Source organism: Homo sapiens, chromosome 2 (genome assembly GCF_000001405.40).
Source record: "Homo sapiens chromosome 2, GRCh38.p14 Primary Assembly".
NCBI lineage: Eukaryota > Metazoa > Chordata > Mammalia > Primates > Hominidae > Homo > Homo sapiens.
Window position 1 is genome coordinate 75,367,534 of NC_000002.12, and position 23,310 is coordinate 75,390,843.

General features: G+C 38.0%; 1 annotated feature.

Moving 5' to 3' along the window:
* Positions 13,670 to 14,170: an enhancer, noted in NCBI's record as "H3K4me1 hESC enhancer chr2:75608329-75608829 (GRCh37/hg19 assembly coordinates)". NCBI's record gives its function as "activates a minimal SCP1, AML or CMV promoter by ChIP-STARR-seq in primed H9 embryonic stem cells {active_cell/tissue: H9 hESC(primed)}" and the evidence as "EXISTENCE:reporter gene assay evidence [ECO:0000049][PMID:30033119]".

Consider the following 23,310-nt stretch of genomic DNA (forward strand, 5'->3'; position numbering starts at 1 on the left):
AAATCAGCAATTAATTCCTGGGCAGAAGTAGTATCATTGTGAGCTCAGACAAGTTAAAGAGGCTGGGTGGTTGATTGCATCAACTGTGCAAACAAAACCCTCAGGCAATTTCTATTTTCTGAATGATGTTACTCTCCTCCCTGGATTTGTGAGGGGGGATATGGATTTTTTTCTCCTCTCTGCTCTAAGAAGACAATAACACTGAAGGCTTAGAAGTCTCTTTTGCTAGGACTACAGGTGGAAATTTTGCCTGCTACCCATCTCTCCAGCTATCCAGGTATGCTGAATGTAGAGATTGAGAGGAGTTTTTAGCCAGGGTATTATGAGTGTCAGAGTACCATGAGGTATAAACCAAGCTTAGCTATGTGAGGCCTTGGAGATATGTGGACCTGTTGCAAAACCTTGAACAGTGTTAGACTGTGATAACAAATATCTCCTCATGGGACAGAGAGCTTCAAAATTCCACCCAACAAGTTGACAGAAAGGGAATATCAGAGTAGACAAAGTAAGAAATTTCTACAGATGAAATTTCTTAATTGGACTAAGGGTGTTATTTAGTGAACATCGAAGACAAGGAAGATTTTTACAATTCAGCATTCCTACAAACTAAAAAAAATTCATATCCAACTATTTTTCCCTTTCTTTGGTAGACCTCAATAAGTAATTCCTTTAAATTCTCAGAAGATAGCAAAATTTAAAAAGCTGTATTTATTTAATGCATAAAATACCAAAGTCCAATGAAAAAATATTGTAATCTTCACCTATGATAGTCCTACCATTGTGTTTAGAATAAACTGTGATAAGGGGAAAAACAAACAAACAAACAAACAAACAAACAAACAAACAAACAAAAAATCCTGAAAATAGGGCCCCAGTCTCTCTTGGTTTATAAGATTTCTGCTGAGAAGCCTGCTGTTAGCCTGATAGGGTTCCCTTTGTACCTGATCTGACCTTTTCCTTTAGCTGCCTTTATGGCTTTTTCTTTAGCATTGACCTTGGAAAACCTGATAATTATATGCCTCAGTGATGTTTATTTTGTATGGTACATCTTCTTCATCTCAACATTACCGCAGAACATCAACTGGATCCTACCATAATTATATCATACTTGTAGGAAGTACAGCAAGATATAATAGTGCTCTAGGTAAGCATAGGGGATAAATTTGTGTCAGAAGACAGGAGGTATTTTTCATAAAAATACAGACTTGAGCCACCAGAGGGAAGTTTGCAGGACTCAGTGGTGAGGACATTGTGAAACATTCTCTCCAAATTGAAAGACAGCTTCCTATACCTTTTCTCCCTGTCCCCATCAAATCCCAGATTTAAAGGCATGTTGTTGGCAAGTCTCTGGGTTTTTTAAAAATTTATTATTATACTTTAAGTTCTAGGGTACATGGGCACAACGTGCAGGTTTGTCACATAGGTATACATGTGCCTTGTTGGTTTGCTGCACCCATGAACTCATCATTTACATTAAGTATTTCTCCTAATGCTATCCCTCCCCCAGTCCCCCACCCCCTAACTGGCCCAGGTGTGTGATGTTCCCCGCCCTGTGTCCATGTGTTCTCATTATTCAACTCCCAACTATGAGTGAGAACATGCAGTGTTTGGTTTTCTGTCCTTGTGATAGTTTGCTTAGAATGATGGTTTCCAGCTTCATCCATGTCCCTGCAAAGGACATGAACTCATTCTTTTTTATGGCTGCATAGTATTCCATGGTGTATATGTGCCACATTTTCTTAATCCAGTCTATCATTGATGAACATTTGGATTGGTTCCAAGTCTTTGTTATTGTGAATAGTGCCACAATAAATATATGTGTGCATGTGTCTTTATCATAGAATGATTTATATTCCTTTGAGTATATGCCCAGTAATAGGATTGCTGGGACAACTGGTATTTCTAATTCTAGATCCTTGAGGAAACTCCACACTGTCTTGCACAATGGTTAACTAATTTACCCTCCCACCAACAGTGTAAAAGCTTTCCTATTTCTCCACATCCTCTCCAGCATCTGTTGTTTCCTGATTTTTTAATGATCACCATTCTAACTGGCATGAGATGGTATCTCACTGAGGTTTTGATTTGCATTTCTCTGATGACCAGTGATGATGTGCATTTTTGCATATGTCTGTTAGCTGCATAAATGTCTTCTTTTGACAACTGTCTGTTATATCCTTTGCCCACTTTTTGATGGGGTTGTTTGTTTTTTTCTTGTAAATTTGTTTAAGTTCTTTGAAGATTTTGGGTATTAGCCCTTTGTCACATGGATAGATTGCAAAAATGTTCTCCCATCCTGTAGGTTGCCTCTTCACTCTGATGATGGTTTCTTTTGCTGTGCAGAAGCTCTTTAGTTTAATTAGATCCATTTGTCTATTTTGGCTTTTGTCGCCATTGATTTTGGTGTTTTAGTCATGAAGTCTTTGGCCATGCTTATGTCCCGAATGGTATTGCCTAGGTTTTCTTCTAGGGTTTTTATGGTGTTAGGTCTTACATTTAAGCCTTTAATCCATCTTGTTAACTTTCATATAAAGTATAAAAAAGGGATCCAGTTTCAGCTTTCTACATATGGCTAGCCAGTTTTCCCAACACCATTTATTAAATAGAGAATCCTTTCCCTATTGCTTGTTTTTGTCAGGTTTGTTGAAGATCAGATGGTTGTAGATGTGTGGTGTTATTTCTGAGGTCTTTGTTCTGTTCCATTGGTCTATATTTCTGTTTTGGTACCAGTACCATGCTGTTTTGGTTACTGTAGCTTTGTAGTGTAGTTTGAAGTCAGGTAGCACGATGCTCCCAGCTTTGCTCTTTTTGCTTAGGATTGTCTTGGCAATGTGGGCTCTTTTTTGGTTCCATATGAACTTTAAAGTAGTTTTTTCCAATTCTGTGAAGAAAGTCAGTGGTAGTTTGATGGGATAGCATTGAGTCTACAAATTACTTTGGGCAGTATGGCCATTTTCACAATATTGATTCTTCCTATCCACGAGCTTGGAATGTTCTTCCATTTGCTTGTTTCCTCTTTTATTTCATTGAGAAGTGTTTTCTAGTTCTCCTTTAAGAGGTTGTTCACATCCCTTGTAAGCTGGATTCCTAGGTATTTTATTCTTTTTGTAGTAATTGTGAATGGGAATTCACTCATGATTTGGCTCTCTGTTTGTCTATTATTGGTGTGTAGGAGTGATTGTGATTTTTGCACATTGATTTTGTATTCTGAGACTTTGCAGAAGTTGCTTATCAGCTTAAGGAGATTTTGGGCTGAGATGATGGGGTTTTCTAAATATACAATCATGTCATCTGCAAACAGAGACAATTTAACTTCCTCTTTTCCTAATTGAATACCCTTTATTTCTTTCTCTTGCCTGATTGCCCTAGCCAGAACTTCCAACACTATGTTGAATAGGAGTGGTGAGAGAGGGCATCCTTGTCTTGTGCCAGTTTTCAAAGGAAATGCTTCCAGCTTTTGCCCATTCAGTATGATATTGGCTGTGGGTTTGTCATAAATAGCTCTTATTATTTTGAGATACGTTCCATCAATACCTAGTTTATTGAGTGTTTTTAGCATGAAGGGCTGTCGAATTTTGTCAAAGGCCTTTTCTGCATCTATTGAGATAATCATGTGGTTTTTGTCGTTGGTTCTGTTTATATGATGGATTACGTTTATTGATTTGCATATGTTGAACCAGCCTTGCATCCCAGGGATGAAGCCAACTTGATCGTGGTGGATAAGCTTTTTGATGTGCTACTGGATTCAGTTTGCCAGTATTTTATTGAGGATTTTTGCATCAATGTTCATCAGTGATACTGGCCTAAAATTCTCTTTTTTTTGTTGTTTCTCTACCAGGCTTTGGTATCAGGATGATGCTAGCCTCATAAAATGAGTTAGGGAGGATTCCCTCTTTTTCTACTGATTGAAATAGTTTTAGAAGGAATGGTATCAGCTCCTCTTTGTACCTCTGGTAGAATTCGGCCGTGAATCTGTCTGGTCCTAGACTTTTTTTGGTTGGTAGGCTATTAATTACTACCTCAATTTCAGAACCTGTTATTGGCCTATTCAGAGATTCAACTTCTTCCTAGTTTAGTCTTGGGAGGGTGTATGTGTCGAGGAATTTATCTATTTCTTCTAGATTTTCTAGTTTATTTGCATAGAGCTATTTATAGTATTCTCTGATGATAGTTTGTATTTCTGTGGGATCGGCGGTGATATCCCCTTTATCATTTTTTATTACATCTATTTGATTATTTTCTCTTTTCTTCTTTATTAGTCTTGCTAGTGGTCTTTTTTGTTGATCTTTTCAGAAAAACAGCTCCTACATTCATTGATTTTTTGAAGGGTTTTTTCTGTCTCTATCTCTTTCAGTTCTGATCTGATCTTAGTTATTTTTTGTCTTCTGCTAGCTTTTGAATTTGTTTGCTCTTGCTTCTCTAGTTCTTTTAATTGTGATGTTAAGGTGTCAATTTTAGATCTTTCCTGCTCTCTCTTGTGGGCATTTAGTGCTATCAATTTCCCTCTAAACACTGCTTTAAATGTGTCCCAGAAATTCTGGTATGTTATATCTTTGTTCTCATTGGTTTCAAAGAACAAGTTTATTTCTGCCTTGATTTCGCTATTTACGCAGTAGTCATTCAAGAGCAGGTTGTTCAGTTTCCATGTAGTTGTGTGGTTTTGAGTGAGTTTATTATTCCTGAGGTCTAATTTGATTGCACTGTGGTCTGAGAGACAGGTTGTTTTGATTTCTGTTCTTTCACATTTGCTGAGGAGTGTTTTACTGCCAATTATGTGGTCAATTTTAGAATAAGTGCCATGTGATGCTGAGAAGAATGTATATTCTGTTGATTCGGGGTGGAGAGTTCTGTAATTGTCTGTTAGGTCTGCTTGGTCCAGAGCTGAGTTCAAGTCCTGGATATCCTTGTTAACCTTCTGTCTCATTGATCTGTCTAATATTGACAGTGGGGTGTTAAAGTCTCCTATTATTACTTTGTGGGCGTCTAAGTCTCTTTGTAGGTCTCTAAGGACTTGCTTTATGAATCTGGGTGCTCCTGTATTGGGTGCACATATATTTAGGATAGTTCGCTTTTCTTGTTGAATTGATCCCTTTACCATTATGTAGTGGCCGTCTTTGTCTCTTTTGATCTTTGTTGGTTTAAAGTCTGTTTTATCAGAGACTAGGATTGCAACCCCTGATTTTTTTTTCTTTCTATTTGCTTGGTTTATCTTCCTCCATCCCTTTATTTTGAGCCTATGTGCATCTTTGCACATGAGATGGGTCTCCTGAATACAGCACACTGATGGGTCTTGACTCTTTATCTAATTTGCCAGTCTGTGTCTTTTAATTGGGGCTTTTTGTCCATTTACATTTAAGGTTAATATTGTTATGTTTGAATTTGATCCTGTCATTATGATGCTAGCTGGTTATTTTGCCCATTAATTGATGCAGTTTCTTCATAGCACTCATGGTCTTTACCATTTGGCACGCTTTTGCAGTCGGTGATATTGGTTGTTCCTTTCCATGTTTAGTGCTTCCTTCAGGAGCTCTTGTAAGGCAGGCCTGGTGGTGACAAAATCTCTCAGCATTTTCTTGTCTGTAAAGGATTTTATTTCTCCTTCACTTACGAAGCTTAGTTTGGCTGGATATAAAATTCTGGGTTGAAAATTCTTTTCTTTAAGAATGTTGAATATTGGCCCCCACTCTCTTCTGGCTTGTAGGGTTTCTGCAGAGAGATCCACTGTTAGTCTGATGGGCTTCCCTTTGTGGGTAACCTGACCTTTCTCTCTGGCTGCCCTTAACATTTTTCCTTCATTTCAACTTTGGTGAATCTGACAATTATGTGTCTTGGGGTTGCTCTTCTCAAGGAGTATATTTGCGGCATTCTCTGTATTTCCTGAATTTGAATGTTGGCCTGTCTTGCTAGGTTAGGGAAATTCTCCTGGACAATATCCTGAAGAGTGTTTTCTAACTTGGTTCCATTCTCCCCATTGCTTTCCAGTACACCAATCATACATATATTTGGTCTTTTCACATAGTCCCATATTTCTTGGAGGCTTTGTTTCTTTTCACTCTTTTTTCTCTAATCTTCTCTTCTCACTTTATTTCATTAATTTGATCTTCAATCATTGATATCCTTTCTTCTACTTGATCGAATTGGCTGTTGAATCTTGTGCATGTGTCACAAAGTTCTCGTGCCATGGTTTTCAGCTCCATCAGGTCATTTAAAGTCTCCTCTACACTGTTCGTTCTAGTTAGCCATTTGTCTAACCTTTTTTTCCTAGGTTTTTAGCTTCCTTGTGATGGGTTAGAACATGTTCCTTTAGCTTGGAGAAGTTTGTTATTACCGACCTTCTGAGGCCTACTTCTGTCAACTTGTCAAACTCATCCTCTATCCAGTTTTGTTCCTTTGCTGGCAAGGAGCTGTGATCCTTTGGAGGAGAAGAGGCACTCTGTTATTTTGGAATTTTCAGCTTTTCTGCTCTGGTTTCTCCCCTTCTTTGTGTTTTTATCTACCTTTGGTCTTTGAAGTTGGTGACCTACAGATGGGGTTTTGGTGTGGATGCCCTTTTTGTTGATGTTGATGCTATTCCTTTCTGTTTGTTAGTTTTCCTTCTAACAGTCAGTCCCCTCAGCTGCAGGTCTGTTGGAGTTTGCTGGAGGTCCATTCCAGACCCTGTTTGCCTGGGTATCACCAGCGGAGGCTGCAGAACAGCAAATACTGCTGCCTGATCCTTCCTCTGGAAGCTTCATCCCAGAGGGGCACCCGCCTGTTTGAGGTGTCTGTCGGCCCCTACTGGGAAAGTGTTTCCCAGTCAGGCTACACGGAGGTCAGGGACCCACTTGAGGAGGCAGTCTATCTGTTCTTGGAGCTTGAAGGCTGTGCTGAGAGAACCACTGCTCTCTTCAGAGCTGTCAGACAGGGATGTTTAAGTCTGCAGAAGTTGTCTGCTGCCTTTTGTTCTACTATGCCCTGCCCCCAGAGGTGGAATCTATAGAGGCAGGAAGGCTTGCTGAGCTGTGGTTGGCTCCACCCAGTTTGTGCTTCCAGGCCTCTTTGTTTATACTGTGAGCTACTGGAGCCTCAGCAATGGCAGATGCCCCTCCCCCCATCCAGCTGCAGTATCACAGGTTGATCTCAGACCGCTGCGCTAGCAGCGAGCAAGGCTCTATGGGCATGGGACCTGCTGAGCCAGGCAAGGGAGGGTGTCTCCTGGTCTGCCAGTTGCTAAGACTGTGGGAATAGCACAGTATTTGGTCAGGAGTATACTGTTTCTCCAGATACAGTCTGTCACGACTTCCCTTGGCTCAGAAAGGGAAATCCTCCAACCCTTGCACTTCCTGGGTGAGGTGATGCCCTGCCCTACTTCAGCTTGCCCTCCGTGGGCTGCATCCACTGTCCAACCAGTCCCAATGAGATGAACCGGGTACCTCAGTTGGAAACACAGAAATCACCTGTCTTCTGCGTCAATCTCACTGGGAGCAGCAGACCAGAGCTGTTCCTATTTGGCCATGTTGGAAGTAACCAAGTCTCTGAGTTTTTAAAGTAACAACATAGATGTATGTGCTGTCCCAACCTACTTATCAAGGGAATCAAAAGCCTGAAAACTTTGACTCAGGCTCAGAGGAAGAAGTGGGACTCCAACTGATCCAGGTGGATATTTGGCGCTTAAGACCTAGCAGATATTCTGCAGAAGATTCATGTGTTAAATAAAGTCTGTGGCAAGCCAGAATTGAAAAATCAAAGCAGAGTTTCCTCTTGAATTAAGGTATGCCTTCTCTCTATATAACTATATTCCTTTCCAGAAATAGCTACCGTGATTGCTTCTGAGCCCTAGTAGAGACTGAATGCATAAGTATGAAACATTTGGTCATCAAACAATCTGAGCTGCCCATAATGTGCAGGATTTTATGTGATTCGTCAAATTATAAGATTGTTCATGTCCAACAATACCCCACAAACTAGTGGAAATGTTACAGTCAGAGAGGGAATCAAGAACATCCTGAAGGCCCAATTAGGTTCCATAAGCAGATGAATTACATCCCTAGTGTGCCTGCTGCTACCACACTGCAATCTCTTCCTCACCCAAATCGAGTCTTCCAGAGAACGTCTTATAATTCCTTAAGAGAGAAGAAGAAAACTTAAGCCTCATTTGCAAATGCTCTGGATGATATGTTGTTGTAATACAGATTCACTCAGGATAGTCCTCCCAGGAGGTAGAATTTAATTCATGAAGAGAAAGATGGCCTGAAGTATCCATCTATAGTGATTCATGGGAAGTGACTAATGGCTTGGCTAGATTTTTCGGAGATATTAAAGGAAAAAGATTGGAGATTGGTGGCAAGGAAACTGGGTATGAGTTATATGAATAAAACTTTCAAAATTGGCCCATATGGGGTTCATCATTGAATACACAACAAAAGGTCCCAGCTTTGGTGGAAATTGTCAGTAGTCAAGTGGATGAAATCACTGACTTGAAGATGCCAGTCAGCCTCCTTCTCCAGTTTCCCCAAGTCCTTGTTCAGTATGCTCAATAACAAAGCACCCATGGTGACAGGCATGAGGGTTAAGCCTGGGCTCAGCATAAGCACTTCACTTCACTAAGACTGACCCAGCCAGCTATCGCCATAGCTGGGTCCTTACTGTGCCAGCAGCAATGACCAATGCTTAGTCTTTAATAGACTGCAATGGCTCGGGGATCAGCCAGCCAGCTGGCAGTAAGTTGATTGCATTGGACTCTTTTCATCATGGGGTGGAAAATGATATCCCCCTCTGGAATAAACATTTATTGTTGAGCCACTTACAAAGCTTTTCTTTTTTCTGCCTGCCAATATTCTGCTAGCAACACCATGTGTGAATTTACTAATCATCTTATGCACCATGTGAGACTCAACACAACATGATTTCTAGCAAGAAAATTTATTTTACAATGAGAAAGAAAGAAACTGATGCCCATGTATTCACTGTTATACCATGTATTTCATGTCCTAAAATTAGTTGGCTTTAGCAAATGATGGAACAGTCTATTGAAGACTTGGAATGTCATTGGAAGACCACACTTAGTGAGGATGATATGCTGTTCTATATGGTATTTGTTCTCCTATAGTCAGGAAATGTGGTTCCAGGAGCTAAGAAGAGGAAATGCAGTGAAGCTGCATGTCTCATTATTATACCTAACGAACTGCTTACAAAACTTTTCTCTTTTCTCGCCCTATGACTTTGGGCTCTAGAGGTCTTACTACCCAAGGAAGGAAACCTAACCTAGTAAACCAATATTCCTTCAGACTGTTCTGAGTTTTTCATGTCATTAGGCAAAAAGGTTAAAAAAAAAAAAGGGAGTGAGTAATCCTATCACTGCAGCAGCTGCGAAAAATATGTATTTACTCTTAGAAATTCTATAAAATTAAATGTTTTAAATGGTCAAAAGACATGAAAAGATGTTTCACAAAAGGAGACATTTTAAAAATGACAAACAAATGGATGAAAAGATGTTCTATATATTTAGTTATGCAATATAAACTTAAAATACGGAGATACTACTGTATGCTGGCTAAAATGGTTAGAGTTCAAAACAAATTACCAATACCAAGTGTTTATGAGGATTTGGGGCAACTGGAACTCTCATACATTGTTGGTAGGAGTGCCATATAGTCCAACAGCCTTGAAAAATAGTCTGACAGTTTCTTATAAAGTTGAATATACATTTACTGTATAACCTAGCGTTCTACTCCTAGGTAATTAAAAAGAAATTTTATTCATAATAGTAAAAAAATCTAAATATTCATTAGCAAGTTGAGTGGATAAACAAATGAGGCATATTCTTATAAAGGAATGCTAACCAGCAATATGTATGAACTAGTGAAACAGACAAAAGCAAGAATGAATCTAAAAAACCTGCTGATTCAAAGAAGTCAAGCACGAAAAGAGTATACAATAACTGATACCATTTATGGGAAGTTCTAGAACAGGCAAGATTAATCAGATAAATATCAGATCAATGATTGCTTGAGGGAGGGCATGGGAGTTACATAAATAAAGGAGTCTTGGGGAAATTCCTGGGATAATGGATATGTTCTACGGTTTCCTGATTGAGGTACTTATTAGTCAAACCTCATTAAAGTGTTCCCTTAAAATGTGTTCATTGATTACATGTAAGTTACGCATCAGCTGATTTTAAAACTCAAAAATAAAATAATTTTTCCTTTTCCTTTGCCCCATAATTTCGCATTTTTATGAGTATGTTAGTAATGGTTAGCTTAACACTCTGATCCATAGCTTATGAAATATTAAGGTAGGGATTGTTACAAACCTAGAGAAGTTATAAACACAGCTAGAGGTCCTGGGCTTGAAGGCAAATCCAGTAACTGGGTTAATACCATTGGGGGAAGTGGTAAGTGATATAAAATGTAGTGAGAAAGTCTGGCATCTCCAACCTCTGGTTCCTTACTATGCAGCAATGTTGTCCTAATGGACCAGTTCCGTGCTTTTTACCTATTGGTCCTGACTGCATAGACCTGAATCTGATTTTCTCAGAATCCTGGAAACTCCATAAGAAACCAAATATTAATTAAATAAGTTTTTTTCTTACGTAAGCCGCATTTGATTTTTGTTGATTGCAGCTAAAATGCTGCCTGATAAAGAAGGGCTTAGGGAAATGTCCTAGAGAAGGTAATGCCTGAGCTGTGTCTAAAAAAGTCATTACAAAGAAAACAGGAGACATAGGGCAGGAAAGGATGTTAGATGAGAATAATGGCAAATATTTGGGTGTGGATAGAACATGAATTTCAAAGCAGAGAGTCACTAAAGTTTAAGCTGGAAGAGTCTGCAGGAGACAGATAATGTAGGATCTTATGTGTTATATTAAGGAGCTTGAACTTTATCATATAGATGATGGAATACCATTAAATGGTTTTCAGCAGGGGGATGACATGGTCTCATTTGCATTTTAAACAGATCACACTGGCCGCTGTGTGGAGAATGGGTTTGACTGGGATATAAATGGAAGCAGCAAGTTCTTTTGGTAGTTCACACGAGAAATGATAAGGGTCTAAACAGAGTAATGTTCATCTAGACAGAACTGAGGAGACAAATTTAGGAGACCTTTTAGTGGTAAAATTAACAAGACTAGGTATTTGAAGGCGAGAGAGTCAGAGAAATTCTGTTTCCCCAGTAGGCCATTGGTAATAATGGTGTATTCTAATTCAGTTGATATTATTAATACCAATAGCCCACTAGGGAAACAGAGGAGGGCTCCATTTAGAAGAAAAGATGATAAGATCTTTTGAAATATGTTGAGACTGCATATATATGGTACTTCCAGGTGTAAATGTCCAACAATTATCTTGAGAGATGCACCTGAATGCAGGATAGATAACTAGAATTGCCTGTTGATGTAAGAATAGTGAATTATTTGGTGGAATTCAACTCATCATAATAGATTAAATAACAAAGGGAAGCATGTAGGGAGTATGGCTGCCACATATGGCCATGCACGTCATGCATTGAAACCATTCCAGGTGATCCTGGTGATTTTTTTTATATATATATATATATATGTATATATATGTATATGTATATATATATGTATATATGTATATGTATATATGTATATGTATATATGTATATGTATATGTATATATGTATGTGTATATATATGTATATGTATATATGTATATATGTATATGTATATATGTATATGTATATATGTATATGTATATATGTATATGTATATATGTATATATGTATATATATGTGTATATATATATATACACACATATATATATACACAGACACATACACACACACACACACACACAACCCTGTGGGCTGAGGACAAAACCCTTGTGAAAAACACATTTAAAAGGTAGACATATTAGAGCTCTTAAAGTCAAGGAAGAAATGGTCAGAGAAGCAGGAGGACAATAAGAAAATATATTTTGCCCCATGGACTGAAGAAATATTTGTTGCTTGCATGTAATGGCAAACAACAGTAAAATCTACTACAATGACTTAAATAGATGGGGATGTATTGATCTCATGCAACAAAAAGTCTAAAGAAAGAGAGTTCCAGGCTAACACGGTGTTCCTCTATTCTTCTTATCATGGGGCTTTGTCTTTATGGTCATAACATAATCGCTACACTTTCAGGCACATCCTCATTCTAATCAGGCAGAGGAGGGAAATGGAAAGAGGCTGATATTGCATGCCTGCTATGATAGACTAATTGCGAAATTGTTTCCAATTACTTACCCTTCCCTGACTCCACACCCCTTATAATAGGACTATAATGTTGCAAATCCTCTGATTAAGAGACGGAGTCGATTTCCCCACCTTTTGAATCTAACTGGGCCTATGACCAGTTGCTTTGGCCAACAGAATGCAGTGAAAGTGGTGATATGTCCATTGCCAGTCTAAGCCTTAGAAGGTCTGTGTGCTTTCATGAACTCTTCTGGAACTCTGCTACTGCTACATGTATAAGCATGCCTCAGCCAACAGCCAGCCAAATCCCAGAAGCCGATTTATGTAGGTGATCCTAGGATAACCACATAACGGAGCACAATCAAAACCAGAAAAACCACTCACCTGAGCCTAGCCTAAACTGCTGACCTACAGACTCATGAGCTAAATAAATGGTTGTTGTTGTAAGCCCCTAAGTTAGGGAGGTAGTTTATTTTTTTCAAATGATAATTGATAAATAAGTAGAGTCATATCCCCTTAGAAATCTTTCCTAGGAAACTTCCAAGTAAAGATGATAAATTGAACACAAACACCTACTTACATTTCCTCCTATATCACAAATGAACTTAGAGTAAACAATTTTAGAAGGGCATAAATTCACAAGGATAGGAAGAATGGACAAGATGCAACATTTTGGAAGCTGGAAAGCAAATAGTACAGAACAGAAAATTAAAATCCAAAGTAGAACTAGGGAAACTTAAGAATCACTCATTTTATAGATCCTCTAAAAGGTTAAGAAATATATGTTGCAAGGTTTCTCAGTTAGTTGTTATTTGAATATAGGAAAGCTACTGACGGTGAAAGAAGGCAGTCAAACGCTTAGGCGGAAAGGGGTGGGTCCCTGGTGAAGCTCCACCTCCAAGCCGAAGACAGTTTAAAGCCTGAAAGCCTGAAAGCTAGATTTTTTCAGAGATATTAAAGGAAAAAGATTGGAGATTGGTGGCAAGGAAAATTGGCCTGAAAGCCAAACTACAAGGTAAATCCTTGGACCAGACTGAGAACCTGTTTTCCTGTTTGGTGCACTTTCCTCTGATTCATCCCCACCCTTCACCTATTTTACATATGCCTACCCTTTCCTAATTGGTTTTCTGCACTGTGATGCCCACCTTTGAGTGGTGTCTTTAACCTTTTTTGCATACTCACAAACCAATCAGCATGCACTCCCAATTCTGAGTCCATAAAAAGCCCCAGACCCAAGAACACTGAAAAAGGAAAAAACTACCCCAATGTGGAGGTGGGGACCATCCCCCCCATAAACCCTCCTCGTCCTTCCCCACTGAGAGCGTTCCATTGCTCAATAAAATTCTTCTCCGCCCATCCTCACCCTTCAACTGTCAGCATATCTTCACTTTTCTTGGGTACAGGACAAGAGCTTGGGAACCTTCCAACGTGTTTACAAGCTATAATACAGTGGACTAGGGTGTACTTGGCCCAGCTGCGGGATGAGCTGGCGTGCAAGCCAGACTCGGCTCAGGCGGCTGAGTGGGTGGGATGCCTCCAGTGGCACGTCTGGGGCAGAGCAAGGGGGTGGGGGGCGAGGGTGTGTCACTGGCTAGAGGTCCCGGCTGATAAAGTGACCAAGAGAATTCCTGTGTCACTACTGACTTGGGTATATTATATTTTTACCCAACCATCTTAATATTCTTCATTGGTTTTCAGTTGATTTCCAGATTTACAATTATATTAGCTATAAATAATGATTATTTTATCTCTTCCTTTCTAAATTTTACACTTATTATTTATTTTCTAATTGTTTAGGGTTAATCTCCAAAACTATATGAAATAATAGGGAACAATCATAAAATTAAGTAGAATTTATGACCAATTAAAAAAAGCAGAAAGAATCTTTTTGAGGTAATCAAAACTTTGGGGGCATTGTAGTTACACAGGTGTATACATTTGTCAAACTTTATCAAATTGTGAACTTAAAATATAAGCATTTCATACAAGGTATGTAAATTTTCTTTCTTCTTGGTTTAAAAAAAGAATAGTGGTGATATTGAAAATTCAATTTCTATTCTTATCTACAATTGGAATGATCTTAGTTTCCTCATTAAATGTGATGCTGACTTTTGAGATAAATTCATTTAATTGTCTTTAATAAAAGTATATGCTAAATTTATGAAATACATTTTGAACATTGCTATGGACTGAATTATTTCTCCCTAAAATTCATTTGTTGAAGCACTAACTTACAGTGTGATGGTATTTGGAAATTTGGATAGTATTTGGAAATTCACGGGCCTTTGGGTGGTAATAAGGTTTAGATGAGGACATGAGGGTGGGGTCCTCATGATGGGACTACGGTTTTATAAAAAGAAACAACAGAGAACTCACTTGCTTCCTCTCCCCCATGTGATGACACAGTGAGAAGGTAGCCATCTACAAGCCAGGATAAGAACCCAGAAACTGACTATGGTAGCATTTTTATCTTTGACTTCCAGCCTCCAGAACTGTGAGAAAGTAAATTTCTATTGCTTAAAAGCCACCCAGTTTATAGTATGTTTACAGCAGCCTAAACTAAGACAAATATCTACAAAGCTAATTATTTTATCTTTATCCTATAAATCTATTAATTTAATATGTTCCTATATTGCCACAAAGTAAACTATCCCTGAATTCTTCGTGAGGTCCACTGAGCCACAGCATAACATGCTTTAAATGTGCTGCAGGATTCCGTTTGCCAAGATTTTCCTCTGTATTTTTACAGGAAAATTCTTTAATAATTTGTATTTTTGTGCCCTTTTTTGGTTTGATTTTATTATCTAATAGTATACTAGAAAAGAATCCCATTGCAGCTCTGAGTCCTCTGCATTAATTTGTCTATTTAATTTTGTAATTTTTTCAGGGTCAATTTTTATGTTTGTTTTCAAAGATTACCTACTTTATAGGAATTTCAGGTTCATCTAATTAATGTTACATTAAATAATCTCATAATTCTTTTCTCTACTTCTCTTGGTCCCATTTTATTTCTTATGAATATACCTGCTTATTCTTCCTCATCAACCTTATTAAATCTGTAACTCTGCATTATAGTTATTAATTATTTTAGCTTTATCTTTCTGACTTCTTGATTTGGATGACTTGCCATTTATTTTTATACTCTCTTGATTAGTAATATGAGTATTTAAGTTATGAAATTTACTGAGAAGAGCTTTAGTTATATTCCATAGGTTTTGATATGTAGTATTTTATTGTTAATTTATATTTATTTATCCATTTCAATTTTGACTTACTCTTTGACCCAAGAATTCCTTATGAGACTTTTTTCAAGTTTCCAAGTAGCATAATGTTGTTTTCTTCTGTTTCTTGTTTTGCTATTATTATCTAGCATTGAAATATGTTGCATTAAAAAGGAATGAATTTTGACTTTTTTGGAAATTATAGATGTCTTTTTTGTGGTCCATTTGTGGGTATTCTATTGACATTGAAGATAGCAATATTCTGTGTCCAAGTATAAAATTCAATCAGATCATCTATATCCATATGTATATTTCTTTTTTGGGGGGCCGAAGATGGCAAATTAAAGTCTCCTACTTCTAATGTATATTTAATATTTTTTATTTATGAATTTTGATATTACTATTTTTACATAGGTATTCATAGCTACTGGATCTTTATTGTGGATTTTACCTTTTATTATTATATGGTGATTCTATTTGTTTCATTTATTGCTTTTCCACTAAATTTAACACTGTCTAATATTAATACTGTGAACATGTTCTCTTTTTGTTTGCAATTATCTGGTAGACCCTCAATATCCCTTAACTTTCAGCTTTGCTTAGATAGGTTCATTATATAAAACAGTTCTCTATACAGAGCAAGATTTTGCAGTGTGACTTTCAGAGCTCTTTTTCTGTAATGGAGAGTTTCTGTTTACATGCATTGCTATAAAAGGTAGGTCTGATTTTATCTTTCTTTTTTGGTAACAGTTTTATTGAGCTGTAATTCTCATATGATATAATTCTCCCATTTTAAGTAAACAATTCAATAGTTTTTAGTATATTCCAGATATGTACAACCATTGCCACAGTCAATTTTATAACATTTGTTATCACCTCAAAAAGAAAACATGTACCCTTTAGGAAACCTCCCTAGCCTTCCATGCCCCCCAGCCCTAAGAAATCTACTGCTAACTAATCTACTTTCTGCCTCTACAGATTTTCTGATTTTTAGGAAGAAAGAATTCAGTCTTCCGCCCTTAAACATGATTTACCTATGGATTTTTTGGGGATCCTGTTTATCAAGATGAGGAAGTTCCCTCTTATTCTTGAGTGTTTTTACCATGAAAGAATGCTGACTTTCATCAAATGTTTTTTCTGCATCTATTGAAATTGTAGTTTTTGTTTGTGCTCTATTGGTCACTTAATGGTGCATTACATTAATTGATTTTCAGATGTTAAACTAAGCTTGCATACCTGGATAAATTCTACCCCATTATGTTAAATAATTATTTTTGTATTTGCTGCATTAGATTTGCTAGAATTTTGCTGAGGATTAGGGGGGTCCATATAAATAACAGGTATTGGTTTGTAGATTTCTCTTGAAGCCTTGGTTTGGTCAGAGTATTAGAGTTATACTGATATTATACAATGAGTTGCCAAACTTCCTACTACTGAATTTTAACTTTAGGTATTGTATGCTTTAGGTACAGAATTTCCATTTGATGGTTTTCGAAAAATAATTTCTATCTCTTCATTAATTTTCTCTACTTGATTCAACATTATCATCAGATCTTCCTTTACTTCCTTAATTATGGTTTTCTTTAGTTCTTTGATCATATATATGATGGCTACTTGGAAGTTTTTGTCTCTTAAATCTAACATTTGCTTCTCTCCCAGGCAGTTTCTGTTGCCTATATTTTTCCTAATGTGTGGATCATACTTTCCTGTTTCTTTTCATATCTTTAAAATTTTCTTTTTGGAAAGTGGACATTTTAGATAATATCTTGTAGCAACTCTGGGTGCTTGTTACTCCTTTCTAGCACCGGTTAAAGTTCTTTGCTTATTTGTTTGATGACTGGCTGGATTATTTAGTGAGATCTGTTTCCCTTCTTCAATGCTAAACTGCTGAATTTACTCCCTGGGAGACAAAGCCTTGGGTAGCCTAGTCATCTTGGGATGACAATGGGATTTAGCAGGGCTCTCTTTGACCATCTTTTTTCCTGACCATACCCAGCTATAACTCTACAACTAACTGGCTGATGGCTCTATTGCTTTCAACAATGTCCTGGTGCATAAATTGCTCTATAGAATAATCCAATCAAACTCAAGTTCCTTTGAAGGGATAGTTTCTGAGGTCAATATTTGAGATATGTTCTAAGCCCAGAAAAGTTTCTCCCAGCTGTCTCTTTTTTCTGATTCTGTCCTATAAATTTTCTTGCCTGCAATTTAGCCTATATCTGATAATATTCTACCGATTTCTTACCCCAATATTCTTCCGATTTTGTTCACTACAATCTCCACTGTTTTTGAGAGTCCCCTTAAGTTTAAACTTCTTTGTGTTCTGCAGCACAGCCTCAGGAGCTCTGCAAACTAACAAACTAGCAAAACTGGTGAATATGACTGTTTTAAAACAGCCATTTAAAGTCTCTGGAAATGGACCTATATTATAGAACAAATGAAGAAATATATATTCCAAAAAATTTACTAAAATTTAATAATAACAGCGAAAGTCTTTGGTATTTGAACCAGGACTGCTCCATCTCCCACTCTCACAGCTCAAATAGTAGCAAACTGAATTCAATAGCACATTAAGATTATGCACCATGATTAAATGGGATTTATACCTGGGATTCAAGGATGGTTCAACATAGCAAGTTAATAAATATGATACACCACATTAAGAAGATGAATGACAAAAGCCATATGATCAGCTCAATTGATACAGAAAAAGCATTTGACAAAATTCAACATCCTTTTACAATACAAATTCTCAACAAACTAGGAATAGAAAGAATGTACTTCCATGCAATAAAGGCCATATATTACAAGCCCACAGGTAACATAATACGCATTGGGAAAAAGATGTAAAATTGTCTTTCCAGTAGTCTTAAATACATGTTACACTGTTAACTCTTAGCAACTTTGACTTTTGGTGAAAAACCTGGTAAGTACATGATTTTACTTATGTACTAGACGTGGAGCCCAGGACACCAGACAGAAGTGCAGATAAAGTCTGACTCTTTCCAGCATGGCTAGGGCATGGATAACTCTATGTCCCAAGGACTTAACTAGCTGTAGAGCAGGCAACTTGTACAGATAAGAGTCATAGTGGCATTTTATAAAGCATTTAGTAGACCTAATAGCTTTTAAATGGTACAACTTTTTTTTCATAAATTCTCTTCATGGGTCTTGTCTCAAAAATTACACAGACCCTCTATGACATGCTTGAATGTTCTGACTTGTTCTAAATATTCTTCTTTTTAAACAACCAGACATTTTATTTTAGGACAAGAATTTACCATGCAAGATTTTTTATTTTTTTTTTAATTTTTAATTTTTATTTTACTTTACTTTAAGTTCTGGGATACATGTGCAGGTTTGTTACATAGGTATGCATGTGTCATGATGGTTTGCTGCATCTATCAACCCATCATCTGGGTTTTAAGCCCCACATGCATTAGGTATTTGTCTTAATAATGCTCTCCCTCCCCTTGACCCTATCCCCTGACAGGCCACGGTGTGTGTTGTTCTCCCTGTGTCCATGTGTTCTCATTGTTCAGCTCCTACTTATGAGTGAGAAAATGCAGTATTTGGTTTTCTGTTCCTGTGTTAGTTTGCTGAAGATGATGGCTTCCAGCTTCATCTATGTCCCTGCAAAGGACAGGATCTCATTCGTTTTACAGCTGCATAGTATTCCATGGTGTATATATACCATATTTTCTTTATCCAGTCTGTCATGGATGGTCATTTGGGTTGGTTTCACATCTTTGCTATTGTAAATAGTGCTGCAATAAACATACATGTGCATGTGTCTTTATAGTACAATGATTTATATTCCTTTGGGTGTATAACTAATAATAGGGTTGCGGGATCAAATGATATTTCTGGTTCTAGATCCTTGAGGAAGCACCACACTGTCTTCCACAATGGTTGAACTAATTTACATTCCCACCAACAATGTAAAAGCATTCCTGTTTCTCCAGACTCACCAGCATCTATTGTTTCTTAACTTTTTAATAATCACCATTCTGACTGGCGTGAGATGGTATCTCATTGTGGTTTTGATTTGCATTTCTCTAACGATCAGTGATGTTGAGATTTTTTTTATCTGTTTGTTGGCTGCCTAAATGTCTTCTTTTGAGAAGTGTCTGTTCATATCCTTTGGTCACTTTTTAGTGGGGGTTTTTTTTTTTTTTTGTAAATTTGTTTAAGTTCCTTGTAGATTCTGGATATTAGAGCTTTGTCAGATGGATAGATTGCAAAACTTTCCCCCATTCTGTAGGTTGCCTGTTCACTCTGATGATAGTTTCTTTTGCTGTGCAGAAGCTCTTTAGTTTAATTAGATCCCATTTGTCAATCGTAGCTTTTGTTGCAATTGCTTTTGGTGTTTTTGTCATGAAATCTTTGCCTGTACCTATGTCCTGAATGGTAATGCCTAGATTTTCTTCTAGGGTTTTTATGGTTTTAGGTTTTACATTTAAGTCTTTAATACATTTTGAGTTAATTTTTGTATAGTGTGTAAGGAAGGGATCCAGTTTCAGTTTTCTGCATATGGCTAGCCAGTTTTCCCAACATCATTTATTAAATAGGGAATCCTTTCCCCATTTCTTGTTTTTGCCAGGTTTGTTGAAGATCAGATGGCTGTAGATGTGCCATGTTATTTCTAAGGCCTCTTTTCTGTTCCATTGGTCTATATTTCTGTTTTGGTACCAGTACCATGCTGTTGTTGTTACTGTAGCCTTGTAGCATAGTGTGACGTCAGGAAGAGTGATGCCTCCAGCTTTGTTATTTTTGCTTATGATTGTCTTGGGCATATGGGCTCTGTTTTGGTTCCATATGAAATTTAAAGTAGTTTTTAAAAATTATTTGAAGAATATCAATGGCAGTTTGATGGGACTCATGATTTGGGTCTTTGCTTGTCTATTGCTGGTGTATAGGAATGCTTGTGATTTTTGCATTTCAATTTTGCAACCTGAGACTTTGCTGAAGTTGCTTATCAGCTTAAGGAGTTTTTGGGTTGAGACAATGGGATTTTCTAAATATACAGTCATGTCATCTGCAAATAGAGACAACTTGACTTCCTCTCTTCCTATTCGAATACCCTTTATTTCTTTCTCTTGCCTGATTTCCCTGGCTGGTACTTCCAGTACTATGTTGAATAGGAGTGGTGAGAGAGGGCATCCTCTTCTTGTGCTGGTTTTCAAGTGGAATCTCTTTTCTTTATAACCTTCTTTACCAAAAATTCCTCTTTACTTTTATAAGCTTTGAATTAGATGAAAGTCATCTTCCTTCTATTAAAGAGTTAAGGATTTAACTGCATGTTTCTGTGCATGTCCTGTGAAGGGGGAGCAGATAAGGAGGTTATCTACATACTGTAGAAGTTATCCCCCTTCAAGAGGATTGCTCAGTTAGATTTTTGCTAGGGCTTGCCCAAATAAGTTTGGGCTACTTCTAAACCCCTGAGGTAGTATTGTCCAGGTAGTATTGGAGTTATTGGCTAAGAATTTAGGTAGCTTTCCTTGTAGAAATAGGGCTATTAGAAAGATGAATTCAGAGGTCAGGTAAATATTAAGTGAGCACTGATCTTGGAACACACAGTCTTGCCCCAAAGAGGTGTGGGGCATTTAGACATTACCAGGGACTGGTGGGAGAATGATAATTAGTCCCTTAAGCAAAATAAAGAGGTGTGAATCTTTTGTTTTGGAGGGAGAGGATGTCATTTTCCCCAATTACCCAACAGGCTTAGCCTTGACCTCCTTATTCTGCTCTCAGTTATAAAAGACTGAGGAGGCTAATCTGAGGACCTCCTGCACAAAGACACTGGGTTCCAAGGCTGGCTTTTGTAATTTCCTCCCAGTTCATTTTTAAGCCAAGCAATATTACAAAGGAAATCTAGTTTTTTTGTTTTAAGGTTTGGGGGAATTAAACTGCAGTTTTGGGGGATGGATTTGAGCAGCATGTTTTGTGGGATGGAGATACAATTACCAATCTGTGAAGAAAAAAACAGAGGAAGAAGAAAAGGAAAAAGAAAAAAGAAGGTGTCCCTCCCTTTTTTTTTTTTTTATTATCCTGAATGGGGCATCTCCCATCGTCCTTGAGTTCTGGAATGAACCGGCTTTACTGTGTACCCTTGGTCCCATCTCATCACAATTACTTGACAACAGAGGAGATCTGGAGTGAAGATTTGGTTCCCTCTTCATCCTTGAGGTTCCTAAATAACTGGTCTTACTGGTTACCCCGCCTAATCTTTCATCTGTGTTCCAATGGTAATCCATTAGGCTGAGACCACCCTTCATTTCTGTTCTGTGAGTCTCTTGCATGTGCAGCCTTGGGCCTGACTAGAGCCTTATCTCCTTGGCCTTATAGTGACTCTCACTCACAGCATTTTGGTAATAAGATGATTATCTCTTTTCTTAGATTTCCATTTCCTATGTTCTTGTAAGTAGATGAGAAGCCAGTTTTTTAAAGCTAACTGCCAAAAGGAGGCTGTACTTCCCTCTCCACTCCCTTGGGATATGACCTTGAAGGTTGTGATGCATGATAAGGGTGTGTAAGAGATTAAGAGAAGTGGAGTCTACAGGAGGAAGTGAGAGAAAGTAAGAGCAATACTCATGGGAAGTGTTCACATGCTCGTGAAAACAGCAGCCCTTGGATTCAAGAGGGAAACATTTATTTGCCCTCTGGACATAAAGTAGTAATGTCTGGAGGACTTGAGGTGTGGGAAAAGAACTCGAAAATGGCAAAGGAAGAATTTCCCCTCTTCCCAAAGGGGTGCTTACTTGAAAAAAAAAAAAAAAAAAGGCCAGGCACAGTGGCTCACGCCTATAATCCCAGCACTTTGGGAGGCTGAGGTGGGCGGATCATGAGGTCAGGAGATCAAGACCATCCTGGCTAACACAGTAAAACCCCTTCTCTACTAAAAATACAAAAAAAATTAGCCTGGCATGGTGGCATGCACCTGTATTCCCAGCTACTCAGGAGGCTGAGGCAGGAGAATGGCATCAACCCAGGAGGCGGAATTTGCAGTGAGCTGAGATTGCACCACTGCACTCCAGCCTAGGTGACAGAGTGAGACTCGGTCTCAAAAAAAAAAAAAAAAAAAAAAAGAAGAAAAGAAAATAGGTGGACTCCTTATAGGACCAGAGTCCTTTAAGGATTTAAGTCCAGTATGCACGCTGACAATCTGCTTTGAAAGCCACCAAAAAACTCAGTCCTGGGGCATAACAGGAACAAAAAGCATATACTAAGTCATAAGGAACTGGCAAAGGCAGAGTTCCAATTAGTATCTGTCCCAGCCATATGCCAATGGGCAGGAGAAGGGCTGGAGGTTATTTGAGCTGCTAGGGTAAAAACAAGTATCAATTTCAGGGGATATCTACAAGAGAGCCCATGTCTCTGCTGCTGCATATATGCAGAGAGCCGTGGGCACAAGAATAACAAGGAGTATTTGTTTAAGAAGTCACATGGCATGCAAAGTGAAAGCAAAGACAGAGACTTGCCCCTGGAAATGGATGATCTGGCAGGTACGCAAGGCCATCTCGGAATACACACATTGAAAAGAGGAGAATGGGAGGTGCAGGTCTTTGGGAAAGAGCTGATTTTAGTTGAAAAAGCAGAGGAAACCCAAAACATTGCATGGTTTTAGGCCTTAGTCCTACCACTTGAGCCTCCTGTCCAGGAGGGTCATTTTAGTACCTTAGATCTATTTGGTGCAGAACCTAATTTCCTTCCCACCCCTGTGAGCCACCCATCAGAACGAGCTGAGAAACCCACCAGGAGGTGGGCAGAGTCACTTACGGTCAAGAAGAATTGTTCTGGAGGTTGGTTAGTAAAGAGGAGAGAGAAAGGGGAGAAGAAAACTGCATACAGGGGCTGAATGCCTCTAGCTGAAGAAGGTGAGGTGTAGAGATCTCTTACCACTAGGAAA